The sequence below is a fragment of the Homo sapiens genome, chromosome 5 (genome assembly GCF_000001405.40).
Source record: "Homo sapiens chromosome 5, GRCh38.p14 Primary Assembly".
In the NCBI taxonomy this organism is placed as follows: Eukaryota; Metazoa; Chordata; class Mammalia; order Primates; family Hominidae; genus Homo; species Homo sapiens.
In genome coordinates this window covers 38,689,050-38,708,687 of record NC_000005.10, presented here as the reverse complement: position 1 = coordinate 38,708,687, position 19,638 = coordinate 38,689,050, and the positions used below count along the sequence as shown (strand labels likewise).

General features: G+C 42.1%; 1 long non-coding RNA gene across 1 annotated transcript in view; it reads left to right on the top strand.

The window, feature by feature from the left end:
* Nucleotides 1–15,475, top strand: part of OSMR-DT (OSMR divergent transcript) — a 152,617-nt gene extending 137,142 nt beyond the window's left edge. The window contains exon 4 of the long non-coding RNA NR_109951.1: nucleotides 15,189–15,475. This is a non-coding gene — a long non-coding RNA (OSMR divergent transcript). The remainder of the gene's footprint in view (nucleotides 1–15,188) is intronic.
* The last annotated feature ends 4,163 nt before the right edge of the window (nucleotides 15,476–19,638 follow it).

The window sequence follows — 19,638 nt, the reverse complement described above, 5'->3', positions numbered from 1 at the left end:
TATATTTCTATCACCCTATCTCTCCTTTGACATCCAGTCCCTGAACTTCTCCTCCAGCAAGCAAAATAAAGCCAAGAGTGGTGTATCTGTCCTATTATAAAATCATACCCAGGATTCTGGACTTCTTAGCTGATTTCATCTTATTCACATGTGTTTGCATATTGCCTTTTGTTAAGTGGTTCCAAATCCAGTTTGTAAAGTATGAGATGGCCTCAATGTTCTAGGTAGGGCAAATGCATTCTCATTCAGAGCAAAGGTGACCACCATAGGAAGCAAGTTTTTAAGCCCTTCCCACTTTAGGAGAGACAGAAAACATAATTAAGCAAATTTGCCATGATGAGAGGCCTGGCTCTCCTTCCATTTAATGGGGATAGAGCACTGTGGAGAGGAAAAGTGCCAAATGGTATGTGATTTTTAAAATCTCCTACGCATTTAATAATTAATGCTCGTTTTCTTCTATTTTTCCCCACCCCCACAACTCCTTTCCCCACTCATTACAGCTCTTTGATATCCCCTCAGGAATTATGATATCTCCAGCTGTTTACATAACCAGAGATTAAGTCCAACTGAAGGAGAAATTTAGGCCACAGAAAAATCAGGATAAGAAAGCCAGAAATGTAGTTTGCCTTGGGGTCACATTCTGAGATTCAGTCATAGCAGCCTCAAAGAGCATTGAGCAAAAGTTTTTTGGTGGACTCATGAATTGGAGGTGAGAGTGGTTGACTGCTATTTGCAAAGCTGGATTAAGTGAAAGCAAATGGTAACTGACACAAGCCTCCTTTCTGGAAGGAATCTGCTGTGCATGAGAGATAAGATAAAGCTCTAATAAAAATACTGACTTAGTTTCTGCCCTTTTGTGCTTACCTGCTCTGCTCCGCGTTATCTCATTTTTGTAGGCTTGACCCTGCTGCAGTTTGCAAGTTTCTAGATGAATAACTGTTGCATCTTTGTACGTGGTGGGTTTCGTGCATGGAATTATGTTGCCCAATCCATTGCCTCTCCTCCCCCATTGCCCCCACCCTTTCCCTGCTCTGACTTGAGCCAGCCCGATGCTGAGGCCAAATAAGCCATTACTTTAATAAGCCATTATTCACAATGGATTGGAAAGATAAGGAGCCCCACAGTGAGCTGACATCGGCCTTGTATTCCTAATCAGGAAATAGCAGATAGGGGATGTGCATGGGACGGCGGGTTTGCAGCAAGAAAATTTTGGGGCACTTCTTGGGTGAAAGGGGAGGTGGGAGGGGCCGGGCAGGCCCAGGCAAGGACAGCTGCTCCAGTGGACAGTCTGAGTCAGTGCCTCTCGACCTCTATCTGGGTGTAAGAGAATCATTTGTGTTGCTTATGAAAATGCAGATTCCTTGGCCTCAGCTCCAGAGATTCTGATTTGGTCCATAGGGAGTGGGTTTCAGATAATTCTAATGCAGGCAGCCTAGGATCAAAAACACTGCTTAAGGGCAATGGGCTACCTGTACCAAGAAGGGTTAAGGAGGAGGAAAAAGAGCAGAGAGTAGAAAAGTGCAAAGGTACCTGAAGGCAGCAAAAAAGTAAGGTCTTTGGAGTCAAACTTAGATTCCAATCTCAGGAGCGTTCCCCCTTAATCTTTATGAACATTCTTCCCCACATATAAAATAAGGGGAAATAGCAATGATAATAATAGTTCATATGCAAGGGTTCTTATAGCCCAGGGTTACATGTTTTAGTGGGTTAGCTCATTTATACCTCATCACACTACAAAGAGGACATAGCATTATTCTCATTTTATACCTGAGGAAACCGAGGCACAGATGGAGTGTTAAACTGGCCTAAAAGGCCACACCGCTAACAAGTGCTGGAGCTGTGATCTGAACCCAGGGAGTGTAAGTTGGGGAAATTGGGGGAGAAAATGTACAGGAAATATCTGGCTGCTGCCTGACACACAGGGCTCAGGTTTGTGTCCTTCCTTCCCAGCGTTGCTGAGAGGTGATCAACTGGCCACATATGTTGATCAGCTGCCTGTTCCAGTAGAACTCTACCATAATTGCTGGAGGATTGAGGTGGTAGGGGGAGGGAAGGAGCACTGGATCTGAAGACACATCCTGGAGCCTCAGTTACCTCATCTCTAACGTGAGGACAGCAATGTCCTTACATCACAGCATGTGATGTTCAAATGAGCTCATGCCTGTGAAAAGTATTTTATAAACAGTATTTAGTACAAATATCCATTGGATTATGAAGATGAATACGGGCCCAGTCATTGCACAGAACAGCCCAAAATATCTTCTTCAGGTGTCATTCCCCTCTCTTTTAGTGACTCCTGAGTGTCTCTTGGATAAAATAAGAATATGTGCTAATGTGTTTTCGGATAGTGGCTTAGTCTTTCATACCTAAAGGGGCCTGGTTCTGTTGTGGGTGGAGAAGGAGGGAATTTAGGTGAAAATGTTGAGGTTGCTCCTTAGGAAAAGAAGGAAGACTTTGTCTTTTCATATGTGTGTGTGTGTGTGTGTGTGTGTGTGTGTGTGTATACATATATATACTTTAATTATATATACTTTATATATATATACTTTAATTATATATATACTTTAATTATATATATATATACTTTAAATATATATATATATATATATATATATATATATATATATATATATATATATATATACTTTAAGTTCTGGGGTACATGTGCAAAATATGCAGGTTTTTTACATAGGTATTCATGTGCCATGGTGGTTTGCTGCAGCCATCAACCCGTCATCTACAATAGGTATTTCTCCTAATGCTATCCCTCCCCTTGCCCCCGAACCCGACAGGCCCCAGTCTGTGATGTTCCCCTCCTTATGTCCATATGTTCTCATTGTTCATCTCCCACTTATGAGAGAGAACATGCAGTGTTCGGTTTTCTGTTCCTGTGATAGTTTGCTGAGAATGATGGTTTCCAGCTTCATCCATGTCCCTGCAAAGGACATGAACTCATCCTTTTTATGGCTGCATAGTATTCCATGGTGTATATGTGCCACATTTTCTTTATCCAGTCTGTCATTGATAGGCATTTGGATTGGTTCCAAGTCTTTGCTACTGTGAATAGTGCTGCAATAAACATACGTGTGCATGTGTCTTTATAGTAGAATGATTTATAATCCTTTGACTATATACCCAGTAATGGGATTGCTGGGTCAAATGGTATTTCTGGTGCTAGATCCTTAAGGAATCGCCACATTGTCTTTCAAAATGGTTGAACTAATTTACACTCCCACCAACAGTGTAAAAGCGTTCCTATTTCTCCACATCCTCGCCAGCATCTGTTGTTTCCTGACTTTTTAATGATTGCCATTCTAACTGGTGTGAGATGGTATCTCATTGTGGTTTTGATTTGCATTTCTCTAATGACCAGTGATGATGAGCTTTTTTTCATATGTTTGTTGGCCACATAAATGTCTTCTTTTGAGAAGTGCTGTTCATATCCTTTGCCCACTTTTTGATGACCTTGTTTGTTTTGTTCTTGTAAATTTGTTTAAGTTCCTTGTAGATTCTGGATATTAGCCCTTTGTCAGACGGCTACATTGCAAAAATTTTCTCCCATTCTGTAGGTTGCCTGTTCACTCTGATGATAGTTTCTTTTGCTGTGCAGAAGTTCTTTAGTTCAATTAGATCCCACTTGTCAATTTTGGCTTTTGATGCAATTGCTTTTGGGGTTTTAGTCATGAAGTCCTTGCCCATGCCTATGTCCTGAATGGTATTGCCTAGGTTTTCTTCTAGGGTTTTTATGGTTTTAGGTCTTATGTTTAAGTCTTTAATCCACCTTGAGATAATTTTTGTATAAGGTGTAAGGAAGGGTTACAGTTTCAGTTTTCTGCATATGGCTAGCCAGTTTTCCCAACGCAATTTATTAATTAGGGAATCCTTTCCCCATTGCTTGTTTTTATCAGGTTTGTCAAAGATTAGATGGTTGTAGATGTGTGGTATTATTTCTGAGGCCTCGTTTTGGTACCAGTAGCATGCTGTTTTGGTTACTGTAGCCTTGTAGTATAGTTTGAAGTCAGGTAGCGTGATGCCTCCAGCTTTGTTCTTTTTGCTTAGGATTGTCTTGGCTATATGGGGTCTTTTTTGGTTCCATATGAAATTTAAACTAGTATTTTCTAATTATGTGAAAAAAGTCAATGGTAGTTTGCTGGGAATAGCATTGAATCTATAAATTACTTTGGGTAGTATGGCCATTTTCATGATATTGATTCTTCCTATCCATGAGCATGGAATGTTTTTCCATTTGTGTCCTCTCTTATTTCCTTGAGCAGTGGTTTGCAGTTCCCCTTGAAGAGGTCCTTCACATCCCTCATAAGTTGTATTCCTCGGTATTTCATTCTCTTTGTAGCAATTGTGAGTGGGAGTTCACTCATGACTTGGCTCTCTGTCTATTATTGGTGTATAGGAATGCTTGTGATTTTTGCACATTGATTTTGTTTTCTGAGACTTTGCTGAAGTTGCTTATCAGCTTAAGGAGTTTTGTGGCTGAGACAACGGGGTTTTCTAAATACACAATCACGTCATCTGCAAAGAGAAACAATTTGACTTCCTCTCTTCTTATTTGAAAACCCTTTATTTCTTTCTCTTGACTTACTGCCCTGGCCAGAACTTCCAATACTATGTTGAAAAGGAGTGGTGAGAGGGGGCATCCTTGTCTTGTGCTGGTTTTCAAAGGGAATGCTTCCAGCTTTTGCCCATTCAGTGTGATATTGGCTGTGGGTTTGTCATAAATAGCTCTTATTATTTTGAGATATGTTCCATCCATACCTAGTTTATTGAGTGTTTTTAGCATCAAGGGGTGTCGAATTTTGTCAAAGGCCTTTTCTGCATCTGTTGAGATAATTGTGTGGTCGTTGTCATTGGTTCTGTTTATGTGATGGATTACATTTACTGATTTTTGTATGTTGAACCAGCGTTGCATCCCAGGGATGAAGCTGATGTGATCGTGGTGGATAAGCTTTTCAGTGTGCTGCTGGATTCAGTTTGCCAGTATTTTATTGACGATTTTCGCATTGATGTTCATCAGGGATATTAGCCTGAAATTTTCTTTTTTTGTTGTGTCTCTGCCAGGTTTTGCTATCAGGATGATGCTGGCCTCATAAAATGAGTTAGGGAAGAGTCCCCTTTTTTTCTATTGTTTGGAATAGTTTCAGAAGGAATGGTACCAGCTCCTCTTTGTACCTCTGGTAAAATTTGGCTGTGAATCCGCCTGGTCCTGGCCTTTTTTTGGTTGGTAGGCTATTAACTACTGCCTCAATTTCAGAACTTGTTATTGCTCTATTCAGGGATTGACTTCTTCCTTGTTTAGTCTTGAGAGAATGTATTTGTCCAGGAATTTATCCATTTCTTCTAGATTTTCTAGTTTATTTGCATAGAGGTGTTTGTAGTATTCTCTGATGGTAGTTTGTATTTCTGTGGGATCAGTGGTGACATCCCCTTTATCACTTTTTATTGCATCTATTTGATTCTTCTCTCTTTTCTTCTTTATTACTCTGGCTAGCAGTCTATCTATTTTGTTAATCTTTTCGAAAAACCAGCTTCTGGATTCATTGATTTTTTGAAGGGTTTTTCATGTCTCTACCTCCTTCAGTTCTGCTCTGATCTTAGTTATTTCTTGTCTTTTGTTAGCTTTTGAATTTGTTTGCTCTTGCTTCTCTAGTTCTTTTAATTGTGTTGTTAGGGTGTTAATTTTAGATCTTTTCTGCTTTCTTATGTGGGTATTTAGTGCTATAAATTTCTCTCTAAACACTGCTTTAGCTGTGTCCCAGAGATTCTGGTACGTTGTGTCTTTATTCTTCAAAGAACTTATTTATTTCTGCCTTAATTTAGTTATTTACCCAGTGGTCATTCAGGAGCAGGTTGTTCAGTTTTCATGTAGTTGTGTGGTTTTGAATGAGGTTTTTTTTTTGTTTTCTTTTTTTGTTTTTTGACAATCTTGCTCTGTCACCAGGCTGGACTGCAGTGGCATGATTTTGGCTCACTGCAACCTCCACCTCCTGGGTTCAAGTGATTTTCCTGCCTCAGCCTCCCAAGTAGCTGGGACTACAGGCGTGTACCACCATGCCCAGCTAACTTTTGTATTTTTAGTAGAGACAGAGTTTCACCATGTTAGCCAGCATGGTCTTGATCTCCTGACTTCGTGGTCTACCCGCCTCAGCTCTCCCAAAGTGCTGGGATTACAGGCGTGAGCCACTGAACCCAGCCAAGTGAGTTTCTTAATCCTGGTTCTAATTTGATTGCACTGTGGTCTGACAGACTGTTTGTTAATGATTTCCATTCTTTTGCATTTGCTGAGGGGTGTTTTATTTCCAATAATGTGGTCAAATTTAGAATAAGTGCTATGTGGTGCTGACAAGAATGTATATTCTGTTGATTTGGGTTGGAGAGTTCTGTAAATGTCTGTTAGGTCCATTTGGTCCAGTGCTGAGTTTAAGTCCTGAATATCCTTGTTAATTTTCTATCTCGTTGATCTGTCTAATATTGACAGTGGGTGTTAAAGACTCCCACTAGTATTGTGTGGGAGTCTAAGTCTCTTTGTAGGTCTCTAAGAACTTGCTTTATGAATCTGGGTGCTCCTGTATTGGGTGCATATGTATTTATGATAATTAGCACTTCTTGTTACATTGATCCCTTTACCATTATGTAATGCCCTTCCTTGTCTTTTTTGATCTGTGTTGGTTTTAACTCTGTTTTATCAGAGACTAGGATTGCAGCCCCTGCTTTTGTTTTGCTTTCCATTTGCTTGGTAAATATTCCTCCATCCCTTTATTTTGAGCCTATGTGTGTCTTTGCATGTGAGATGGGTCTCCTAGATACAGCACACCAATGGGTCTTGACTCTTTATTCAATTTGCCAGTCTGTGTCTTTTAATTGGGGCATTTAGCCCATTTACATTTAAGGTTAATATTGTTATGTGTGAATCTGATTCTGTTATTTTGATGCTAGCTGGTTATTTTGCCCATTCATTGATGCAGTTTCTTCACAGTGTCGATGGTCTTTACAATTTGGTATGTTTTTGCGGTGGCTGGAACCGGTTTTTCCTTAAGTACTTCCTTCAGGAGCTCTTGTAAGGCAGGCCTGGTGGTGACAAAATCTCTCCGCATTTACTTTTCTGTAAAGGATTTTATTTCTCCTTCACTTATGAAGCTTAGTTTGGCTGGATATGAAATTCTGGGTTGAAAATTCTTTCCTTTAAGAATGTTGTATATTGGCCCCCACTCTCTTCTGGCTTGTAGGGTTTCTGCAGAGCGATCTGCTGTTAGTCTGATGGGCTTCGCTTTGTGGGTAACCCAACTTTTCTACCTGGCTACCCTTAACATTTTTTCCTTCATTTCAACCTTGGTGAATCTGATGATTATGTGTCTTGAAGTTGCTCTTCTCGAGGAGTATCTTTCTAGTGTTCTCTGTATTTCCTGAATTTGAATGTTGGCCTATCTTGTGATATTGGGGAATTTCTCCTGGATAATATCCTGAAGTGTGTTTTCCAACTTGGTTCCATTCTCCCCGTCACTTTCAGGTACACCAATCAGACGTAGATTTGGTCTTTTCACATAGTCCCATGTTTCTTGGAGGCTTTGTTTGTTCCTTTGCATTCTTTTTTCTCTAATCTTGTCTTCATGCTTGATTTCATTAAGTTGATCTTCAATCTCTGATATCCTTTCTTCTGCTTGATCGATTTGGCTATTGATACTTGTGTATGCTTCAAAAAGTTCTTGTGCTGTGTTTTTCAGCTCCATCAGGTCATTTATTTTCTTCTCTAAACTGGTAATTCTGGTTAGCAGTTCCTGTAACCTTTTATCAAGGTTCTTAGCTTCCTTGCATTGGGTTAGAACATGCTCCTTTAGCTTGGAGGAGTTTCTTATTACTTACCTTCTGAAGCCTACTTTTGTCAATTTGTCAAACTCATTCTCCGTCCAGTTTTGTTCCCTTGCTGGCGAGGAGTTGTGATCCTTTGGAGGAGAAGAGGCATTCTGGTTTTTGGAATTTTCAGCCTTTTTGAGCTGGTTTTCCTCAACTTTTGGATTTACCTATATTTAGTCTTTGATGTTGGAGACCTTTGGATGGGGTTTCTGTGTCAGGGCATCCTTTTTGTTGATGTTGATGCTATTGCTTTCTGTTTGTTTTCCTTCTAACAGTCAGGCCCCTCTGCTGCAGGTCTACTGGAGTTTGCGGGAGGTCCACTCCAGACCCTGTTTGCCTGGCTACACCAGCAGAGGCTGCAGAACAGCAAAGACTGCTGCCTGCTTCTTCCTCTGGGAGCTTCATCCCAGAGGGGCACCCACCAGATGCCAGCTGGAGCTCTCCTGTATGAGGTGTCTGTCGACGCCTGCTGGGAGGTGTCTCCCAGACAGGTGGCACGGGGTTCAGGGACCACTTGAGAAGGCAGTCTGTCCCTTAGCAGAGCTTGAGCACTGTGCTGGGAGATCCGCTGCTCTCTTCAGAGCCAGCAGGCAGGAACATTTAAGTCTGCTGAAGCTGCACCTACAGCCACTCCTTCCTTTAGGTGCTCTGTCCCAGGGAGATGGGAGTTTTATCTATAAGCCCCTGACTGGGGCTGCTGCCTTTCTTTCAGAGATGCCCTGCCCAGAGAGAAGGAATCTAGAGAGGCAATCTGACTAGAGTGGCTTTGCAGCACTACGGTGGGTTCCGTACCCAGTTTGAACTTCCCAGCAGCTTTGTTTACACTGTGAGGGGAAAACTGCCTACTCAAGCCTCTGTAATGGCAGATGCCCCCCTACCCCCACCAAGCTTGAGGATCCCAGGTCAACTTCAGACTGCTGTGCTGGCAGCGAGAATTTCAAGCCAGTTGATCTTAGTTTGTTGGGCTCCATGGGGGTGGGATCTGCTGAGCAAGACCACTTGGCTCCCTGGCTTCAGCCCCCTTCCCAGAGGAGTAAGCAGTTCTGTTTTGATGGTGTTCCAGGTGCCACTGGGGTACAAAAACAAACAAACAAACAAACAAAAAAAAACAAACAAAAAAAACTCCTGCAGCTAGCTCGGTGGGAAGACTTTATCTTAAGGAGGCTATGAGAATTGCCAGCATGTAGGACATCCTATAACATTTCAGAATATTCCATGTATGCCAAAAGGTGGAAGAGTTCAACCCACAGGTCAAGACTTGAGATCTCAAAGGAGAGATCACAATCTGATACCCAGCCCTTGTTGCCATAAACCCAGACCAGTTGGAAAAGCTGATACATCTTTGTGGCATATATACATTTTGCAACATTTTTGACTCAGACATAGTCAATGTTTTATACCTGCCACTGGAGGTTTGGCTGAGCTCTGTTTGTACTGTGGTAATGCTTAAATCAGAGCCTCCTTTTGGGGAGCGTTGACCCAGACTAGCAGATAGGAATGTGACAAGAGCCACAGTTTCTAGACTAGACAACAAAAGCAAACCAGAAAAACAATTACTCCAAGTTGCTGTCTTCTTTTTCTAAGAGCCTCCTCATCATGGTTGTTAGAAAAACCTCAGAGCCACCAGAGTAAAATAATAATAATAAAGATTTTTTTTGCCCATAATGAGAGTTTGCAAAAAAAAAAAAATTGTGGCAAATCAGTACCATTACCCAAGTGGAAGACCTATGCACTTCCTCCTAGAAGAAAGAGAACCATTTTCTGCTGGGCAACATAGACAGTAGACCTGAGAAAAGTTCAGTTTTCTTTTCAAAAAGAAAATTTGTTTCCCAATTTACTTCAGCAATGGGTAAAACTCAGATGAGACCCTCTTAGTTGGTCTTCCCTTAAGGCAGCCCAGAGTTCAGGAAGGGAAGAGTCGAATTCACTTTCAGGAATTCAATTCAGTTTCTTTTTATTCTATTCTATTTCCTTCAATACAGTTTGATAAACACCCAGGGAAGTGCTATGAGTTGGAGAACCATGTAGATGCTGGGAGACAGAATGGGAAGAGGCAGGGTTGTGCTTCTCCTCTTCTGAATCCAGATTGGATATGGGCATCACTTGACCAAGGAATGCTCTTTTGGGCAGGGTGGGACCAAAGAAGATAAAAAAGCCATAAAAAAAGCAGGATCAAAAAAGATTCAGACTGGTATTTAGGCAGAAGAAACTAAAGCAAGGAGATACGAAGATTTAACTCTAAGCAGACAAACTGAATGTAATCCCCATGCATGTTGTTTTATCAATGAGATAATAGAATTTGAGAGTTTATTATTCTTATGGTTTGAATATGGTTTGTCCCCACCAAAACTTGTATTGAAGCCTGAACCCTAATGTGGTGATGTTAGGATGTCACGCCTTTGAAAGATGATTAGGTCATTAAGATGAATTAATGTCTTTCTCTCCAGGCTGGATTAGTTCTCCTGGGAATGTGTTAGCTCTTGTACAAGTGGATGAGTTCCCTCAAGAGTAGGTTGTTACAAAGTGAGGTTGGTTCTTGTGTTTTGCCCTTTTTTCATATGCACCCAGTTCCCTTTCTATTTCTCTGCCATGTTTTTGATATAGCACAAAGCTCTCACCAGTAGCCACCAAATATGGCTGCCCAATCTTGAACTTCCCAGCCTCCAGAGCTATGAGCGAAATAAAGACCTTTTCTTTATAAATTACCCAGTCTCAGGTATTCTATTGTAGCAACAGAAAACAGACTAGGACAATATGTACTTTCACATACATCGTTCAACTTCATTCTTAAAACAGCCCACATTATCACCTCAATTTTGCAGAAGACGCTGAAGCTGAGTCATGACATGCCCAGTATCTTGACATTTCTACAAGGCCAAGACAGGACATTGAACCCATGCCTTCTGTCTCCCAATCTAACATTCTTTCTGTTCTATTATATTCTCTATCATCTTGCATTCATAGAATATCTGACTGTGCTAAAGGTTCTTTAAATTATGTTGTCCTATGTCTAATTCATTTGTATTTTGCTTAAATCTCATACCTGGAGTAAAGTAGCCCTTGGGAACTGTGGTTTTCATTATTATTTTGTTAATTAGAAATATAAGACAAAGGGTTATCTTCCTCGACTTTAAAAGTTAGAACTGGACTAGGTAATGTCTAGCACTGTTTTAATTCCAGCATTCTGAAATCTGCTATTACATTAGATCAAACTTCATTTTTTTAGTCTTCCAAAAACACAATAATTACAAGTAATGGTGTTCATGCCAAATTCATTAGAGTTTGAAAACAGAGCTATATTTCAGCTCTTTGGAGGCCAAAAATGAACTTTGATATTTTTGCAAGTGTGAAAATTCTTTCAGCTATGCCAAATCAACTCAAAACATCTGAATGGTCTGCCTCCAAGTAACATAAAATTTTCTCTTTTATGCTTTGAATTTTGTTCTAGAGAAACTCTATTCCCCTAAATGTTGTATTAAGAGGCTGAAAAGTTGCAGGGAACCTTGGTGGAGTGATATTTGCTGGGTAGGCTGAAAGCCAAACTATTGTTCTTGTTATTTCTCAATAGAGGAGAGAAAAGTATTTGCTAACTATCCCTGGAATCTCTGTCAATTAGCTTGGAATTTAAGGGATTTTCCTGATGTGCTTTGTAGAGGTCATTGAATGTTTGGATTCCAGGTGAATGTTTGGAACTCTGCAGTAGAAGATAAGTTGGCCCAGAAGACCAGCTTAGTGGAGGATCCTACTTTATTTTAATCAGTGATCTGATGAGTCTTTGTAAGACAGCCATCTTCCCCAAGCTCAGCCCTGTCAACCACCATGGATGACACAGAAATTGTTTAAGACCTGTCTACATAAATATCTTGAGAGTAACTTTTTCAAAATGCAGTCCTCCAATCCAGGTTCTTAGGCCTGACTCCAAGGAAGGAACATTTCTGTGAGTGATGGTAGGAATCTATATATTTTAATGACTGTCCTGGTGATCCTTATGCGTGATGTAAACTGACAACCCTAGCCACACAGTTTTCTAAAAACCCAAAATTTATATACACACAGAAAACAGTATTATCACAACATAATTCTATATCTTATGGAGTCACAAATAGCAAAGCAGCAGCCAGATGGCCAGCTTCTGTGGAGTTGCTGGAGAGGTGGCTAGAAGACCTCTTAGGATCCCAACGTCTGCTAGAACCTATGAGACAAGATGCATCAAAGAGGCAAAGAATAATGTGGACAGAAAAGTGAGAGATAGGTGCCGTTTTGATAGTGGCAGAGAAATTCATGGATGCAACAGAACCCATGCTTGTCCTTGAGAGAAGGAGAGAATGTGGAAAGCTAACATTTTGTTGAGAAGATACTCAGCTGTTTTTCAAATGTTAAATATCCTATGGGCTAAGGCAGATATATTGAGACATTCAGTTAAGTAGCTGTTTTCATGGACCTTGGCAGGTGGGGCGGAAAAGGAGGGCAGGGAATTTGGAAACAAATGGTTTTCCCTTATGGTAAAATGTAGGTAATAAACAAGACCCCCAGAAACACTAAGATGATCTCAAGCAAGAGCCAAGTCACTCAGGGTTTCAAGTTCAGAGGTGAGTGAGAACACTGGATAATGAAAAAGTGGGGGAGACCACGGGAAATTGAGCTGAACTTTGAGGAGTAGGAGGAAGGTTCATAAAATAAACAGGAAAGAGAATGAAGTAAGAGGGTTTGCTCTCGAGCGAAGGTCAGGCGAGGAGGGAAGGGTCCTGAGTGGCATGAGATGCTTTTTTCACAGTTAACTCTGAGTTAGAATTCTGAGTTTCTACCATCTTACACACCAAACACCATCTTCCAGAAATCATTGCCCCCTTGCTTTGGGCTCAGTGGGCAGAGCAGCGTTGGGTTCTATGGAGAGTCAAGCCTTGCTGTCTCGGAGGTGATAGCAACCCCAGCTTCAGTTTACAGATCCAGCTTTGGGGATGAGTGGGTCTGACACAGAGCCGCCCACAGCCTGCTTGGAAGCTTCCTTTCCTGACTTCTAATTACCAGTTCATTTATCGTTTATCTCTGGCTCTTAGTTTGCAACAGGGAGCCAAAACGTTAATGAACACAAAAGGTTAAGCCATTGCTTGACCCCTTCATTCTGCAGATGGGGAAAGAGGAGGAAGAAGGTAATGCGATCTCTGCTAGCCTTTGTTTATAGGAAGCGCCTTACACTCACTGAGTTCACAGCCTAACTGTAAAAGATGTGAAGGGTGTGATTATCAGGCTGGCAGTAAATGGGAACACACTGTGGCTTTGTTTGGGCCTGTGGGGAGTTTTTGGTAAATTTTTTGCTTTCAACCCCCCTATAAAAATATGTGGGGATTCAATAATGCTGACTCTACATTTCTCACTTGGAGCCCGTACTTTCTCTCCCTTTAATATAGAAGTGGTGGTGTTATTTTTCCTCCTTGGCCACAGACAGTTTCTCAGTAGCCCTTGCTGACCCAGTGGGCCCACTCCTACTAATTTTACACAAACCAGATGCTGTCCAAACAAGTCACCTCTATTTCACGTAGGCTAGGCCTCCCTCCTGAAAATGAAATGAAGTCAGGGAACATTGGTTCCTGGAAGCTCACAGGGATTCCTCTAAGCCAGTAGGACCTGTTTATTTTATTTATTTATGTATTACTAAAAAAGGGATACTGCTCCCATTCAGAGGCTCACAAATTCATTTAAGTCAATAGAGTTAAGCAGGGCTTGAAGTGAGTAGCAGCAAGGCTGGAAGCCTCTGCACATGGTAGGTTGGGGCTGGAGAGGTCACCTGTGTAAATCAGTAGCAACAATCTAGACCAGGCTTACCCTCAGACTCGGGGTGAAACCAGGGATTACTTCTCTTAAGTTTCTAGTCTCAAGAATTTTTTCCAAGGCAGATATTTAATGTCTCTTATTTAGATTTAGCTAAGACCTGGCTCTGGCTGGCACCAATTTTGATCCTTGTCCCCAAGCTCAAGGCCAGCTTGAGGGAATTACTGCCTTTAGTAGACACAGATTTCCCTCCCTCACCTGTCTCCAGAGCCCAGGCCTGTGGTTTGGACCAACTCGTCACCCAGCTCCACATGAAATGCACATTAAGGAAAATGTGTCATTTAGAGCAGATCACGTGAAAAGTCCATGGGCTTGGGAAATGATGGCTTTGAGTTTCCCCTATTGCTAACCCAGCTGGGCTACCATTATTACCTACTAGATAAGTTCACATGCCATTCTGCTCTCTTAATTTTTGTTTGCTTCTTGTCTAAGGTCAATTTGAAAAAATGTGTAATAAGTGACTATAATATGCAAGATGTTAAATGCTGACTACAATCCCTTAATTTGTATTTCACATAATTTTCAAGGAACTTCACCACCCGTGGTCTCATTTGATTTTCACACCATTGCTGAGCAGGTAGTAATGGACTCATTTTACAATGACCTCCTGGAGGCAGGTGATGGATCTCTGAAGTCACAAAACCAGTAAAAGATTGTGGTCTGGCTGAGAAAGAATTGCTTTATAAAATCACAAAATGCTCATCATGTAAGAAAGAGACCTTAACAGTCAACTAATTCAGTCATCTCACAGATCCAGCCCTCTCCTTCGTAGATTGGGAAACCCAAGGTTCAGAGAGGGAAAGCGACTTGCCTGGAGTCACACAGTTACTGTGCTCTGGTCACTCAATCCTCTGAATTGTTCTTTCTCCCTTCCTAATTGAAGACCCAGAGTCCCAGTCTTTGGAAATTGGCTGAGGATGCTTGTTGTTCCAGCTTTGGGCTGATTCTGGACCCAGCCCTGAATCCTCGAATGGATTCTGGGGTTCCCCTGGAAGTTAGAACTCTGTTTATCCCTGGAGGATGGATGACATCTCACAGAGGGCAGAGAGTGCTAGATCCTCACCCCCAGTTCTGCTCATGGCTACTAAGGTAGCCCTGCACACTTTCAGGGGATCTCGCCAACCAATCACAACTTCCAAAGCCTTCCTGGGTGATTTTAGAGCTTATGGATATGCCCCCAAACTTCACAAACCCCTGGATCTATGGCTCAAATACTCAAGGCAGGAATAGATATGCAATCCACTCTTTTTTTGCATTGCCAGAGACACCCTCTACCCCCATAGACACACACATACACACACACACACACACACACACACATGCCTGTTTAAAAAATGGCAGGAGAGGGAATGAATAAAGGCTTATATAGTTACACAAATACGAGAGGAAAGATCCATGTTCCATAAGCCTAGCTGGAGTCTGAAAAGTTGATACTAATGACAGCTACCATTAATGTTCATTATGCACTAAATACCACTATTATACCTGCTTTACAGATAAGGAAATTGGGTCTCAGAGATGTTAAATGACTGGCCTGTGATGACACAACTAGAAAGGGGCAGAACATCCCAATGTAGGCTGATGCCTGAACCAGGACACTTAATCTGCATGCTGTCCTCCCTCTGCAGACACAATGGCAATGAATGGACCACACCAAATCTACAGTGAATATGCAGCAAGAGACCTGAGCCAAGTAACCCCAGCACAGTCTGAGATGTGCAAGGCAGAAGCAAATTTAAGGAGAATGAAACGGAAAGCAAGGCCCAATTAAAATCCAAATGAACAGGAAGCACGATGCAAAAGCAAACTTGGAAAAAGCCAAGGCGAGAGAGGAACACTTTGGAAGAAGGTGAGACAAAAAGAAAACTGCAGGAGAAATGTCCTCTGCAGCCCAAACTGGCCTCATCCAATAGCTCTGGAACAAGTTTTTATCTTCGTAAGTTATAGCTGGCTGCAGCCAACTGTTTGCATAGTGTGTGGATTGAGACGTTTTATTGCTTTATGAATGCAATAAAACAAATGTGATTAAAGGCAATGATAACACTTGCATCCTGGTGAAGAAGATGGGAATGCTGTTGCCAGGGCTTTATCTGGAACAGAGTGTTTTAATCAGAGAAGAGAAACCTGTTTCCCATCCTTGTTTTGGGGAGACAACACAGGAATGGATGGACGATAAAAATTTTTAAAGAGTCAAGATCTAAAAAGATGGTGAAGCTGTTGGGATGGGGGTGAGAGACAAAAATGGGGAGCTATTAACAGCTCAAAATATAAGCAGGTATGCTTGGCCTCTTAGAGGAAACCGACGTGGCATCTGAAGCACATAGGGGAATGAGATGGAAGAAATCTTGACCACACTGTGACGACAATGCTTCCAAAAGGGATTAGAGTAGAATGTTTCTTTGCCAGCAGAGGAAAATTATGGTGCAAGGAAATGTAAAGAATTCAGGAATTCAAAGAAAGATAAGGGCAAGGGCCCACTGTGGGAAAGAGGGGAGAAGAAAGATATTTTTGGGATTTTCATTCACAGATAAGGGGAATCATGAGTTCCAGTAACTGTGCTGGGTGCTTTGGCCTAGAAGAGGGATTGGGCATGGGTAACACTGCAAAAGTGAGTCAGATAAATGTCTTCCATCTTCGTTAAGGATGTTATACTCCAGTGAGGAAGAGAGTGATAGCAACAGCAGTCTTTATTGTAAGATACAGAGTTGCATAAACCTAAAATGTACTCACTAAAATAGGAGTTTGGATTTTATTTTATTTATGTATTTGTTTATTTATTATTATTATTATTATTATTTTTAAGACGGAGTCTCATTCTGTCACCCAGGCTAGAGTGCACTGGTGTGATCTCGGCTCACTGCAACCACCGCCTCCCAGGTTCAAGTGATTCTCATGCCTCAGCCTCCAGAGTACCTAGGATTACAGGCATGTACCACCATACCCAACTAATTTTTGTATTTCTAGTAGAGACGGGGTTTCATCATGTTGGCCAAGCTGGTCTCAAACTCCTGACCTTAAGTGATCCACCTGCCTTGGCTTCCCAAAGTGCTGGGATTATAGGCATGAGCCATCGCACCCAGCCTGAGTCTGGATTTTAAATAGAGGAGTGATGGGACTTGTATCATGCTGGGAGAATATGGGGAGTGTCAAGGAAGGTTTCAGAGAGGAGGTGGTTTTTGGCCAGATCTTGAAGGAGGAACTGAGGAAGGAATTCAAGGCTTCCTAAAGTGCCTTCTTAGCAAAGTGCATGAACGCAGGACAGCTGGGGGCGTTTTGGTTGAGGTGACAATGTGAAAGTCTGGAATGGCTGCATCTAAGGCTATTTGGAAGTTACAAGGGAAACAAAATGATGTGGCCTTATAGAAGCCACACTGGGAAATCTGAATTTTATTTTATAGGCTAGCGTTTCTCGACCAATTTTCTGCCTCCGTACCATTGATATGCACAATACAACAGTCTCAGCTCTCAACAGACACAGGCCCTGCTGAGGGGTCTTATCAGAACTGTGGAGTGCTAGATCTTTAGGAGGCAAAAGGATGGGATCAGCGCTAGTAGATAAATTACCAGAATGGAGACTGAAGTCAGGAAAACCAGTGTGGAAGCAATTCAATTTGTCCAGGTATAGATGATAAAGGACTGAACTTACCATGAATGTGGAGCGGTAGAAATGACTGGGCTTTATTCGTTTTTGCCTTTATTGAACACTCACAGTGGGCCAAGCACTGTGTTTGTTATTAGAGATACAAAAATTTAAGCTCATGACCTACCACCCATGGCTTCCTATAGATGAACCAAGTAAGCCAATACTGATACGGTTTGGATTTGTGTTCTCACCCAAATCTCATGTTGAATTGTAATCCTCAATGTTGGAAGAGGGCCTGATGGGAGGTGATTAGATCATGCGGGCAGACGTTCCCCTTGTGATAGTGAGTTCTCATGAGATCTGATTGTTTAAAAGTGTGTAGCACCAGGCTGGGCGTGGTGGCTCACGCCTGTAATCCCAGCACTTTGGGAGGCCAAGGCGGGCAGATCACCTGAGGTCGGAAGTTTGAGACAAGCCTGACCAACATGGAGAAACCCCGTCTCTACTAAAAAAAAATGCAAAATTAGCCAGGTGTGGTGGCACATGCCTGTAACCCCAGCTACTTGGGAGGCTGAGGCAGGAGAATCACTTGAATCCAGGAGGCAGAAGTTGCAGTGAGCCGAGATTGCACCATTGCATTCCAGCCTGGACAACGAGAGCAAATCTCCGTCTCAAAAACAAACAAACAAAAAGTGTGTAGCACCCCCACCCCCTTCCTCCTGCTCCAGCCATGCAAAATGTGCCTACTTCCCCTTCACCTTCTGCCAGGATTATAAGTTTTCTGAGGTCTCCCCAGCCATGCTTGCTGTAAAGCCCGTGGAACCACGAGCCAATTCAACTTTTTATTATAAATTACCCAGTTTCACGTATTTCTTTATAGCAGTGCGAGGACAAACTAACACAAATACTAAACATAGGGGCCATGACAGCAGCAACAGAGAGACCCTCAGGAGAACCAAGAAGAGATGTTTAACTACATAAGGTTTCAAGGAAATAGGTTAGTTAAGTTGAGGCTTAAAGATAAATAGGCACTACTTAGGTGGAAAGGGGAAGAAAGGGAGTGGAAGGATAGGAGAGGATGTGCAAAGACATAGCAGCATGAAGTGGTAAATGAAATAAGAGGAAGAGCAAATCTCCAGGCTGAAAATTGAACATAGCTTCTGTATGTTGAGCCAGGCCCTTTATTAGCAATTTGACATGTGTTGCTGCATAGGATCTTTGGGGCATGCGTAGTGTGGACTAGAGACACAGTGGCCAAAGTTTGGATGATGACTGCCCTATCAGGAGGTTGGACTTTATATGGAAAAGCTATGTAACTCAGATACATGATTTTAGAAAGATTATTCTGGCAGCAGTGTAAAGAACGTATGGAAGGGGCACAATTTAGGAAGCAGGAAAATAAGTTAGGCAATTATGAGATAATAGACATGGCAAAGGGGGATGTATAAGTCTGTTCTCACACTGCTATAAAGAACTACCTGAGACTGGGAAATTTATAAAGAAAAGGGGTTTAATTGACTCACGGTTCCACGTGCTGTACAGGAGGCATGGCTAGGGAGGCCCCAGGAAACTTACAATTATGGCAGAAGGGTGAAGGGGAAGGAAGCACATCTTCACATGGTGGCAGGAGAGAGAGACAGTTAAGGGGGAGGTGCCACATACTTTGAAACAACCAGATCTCATGAGAACTCACTATCGTGAGAACAACAAGAAAGAAATCCACCCCCATGATTCAATCACCTCCCACCAGGTTCCTCCACCAACATTGAGGATTACAATTCAACATGAGATTTGGGTGGGGACACAGAGCCAAATCATATCAGGGAACATGTATGAGAAAGCATGAATAGGAGGCAGTCGGCATGAAAGGTGATTGGTCAGACTTGAAAGAAGAGGAAATAATCCACAAGGAGCCCAGTTTCTGATTTGATGACTGTGGTTGGTAATGATATACTTCACAGAGCTAGAGGATGAGGCAGGGGAGGAAGGCAGAAGGTCAGAAATGAGACATGATGGGTTCTATTTGTACATATCGAGGAGAAATGGTCTGGGAGTGAATTCTAGTAAACAGTTAGGTGCAATATCCTAGAACTAAGAAGAGAAGCCTTGGCTAAAGGTCTGTGATTGGGAGGCATCATCCTATGTTGGTGGTTGAAGCCAAGGGGGTAGATGAGATCACTCAGCATCATGTGAAAGGAGAAGCAGGCCACAGACAAAGACCTGGGCAATGGTAATATTTCAAGAATGGGCTGAGGGACAGGTGACCTTGCAGGAGACCAGGAAGTAGTGATTTGTGAGGGAGGAGGGAAACCAGGAGAGGGAGCTGCCTAGAAAATGAAGGGGGCCTCAGTAAGGAGGGAGTG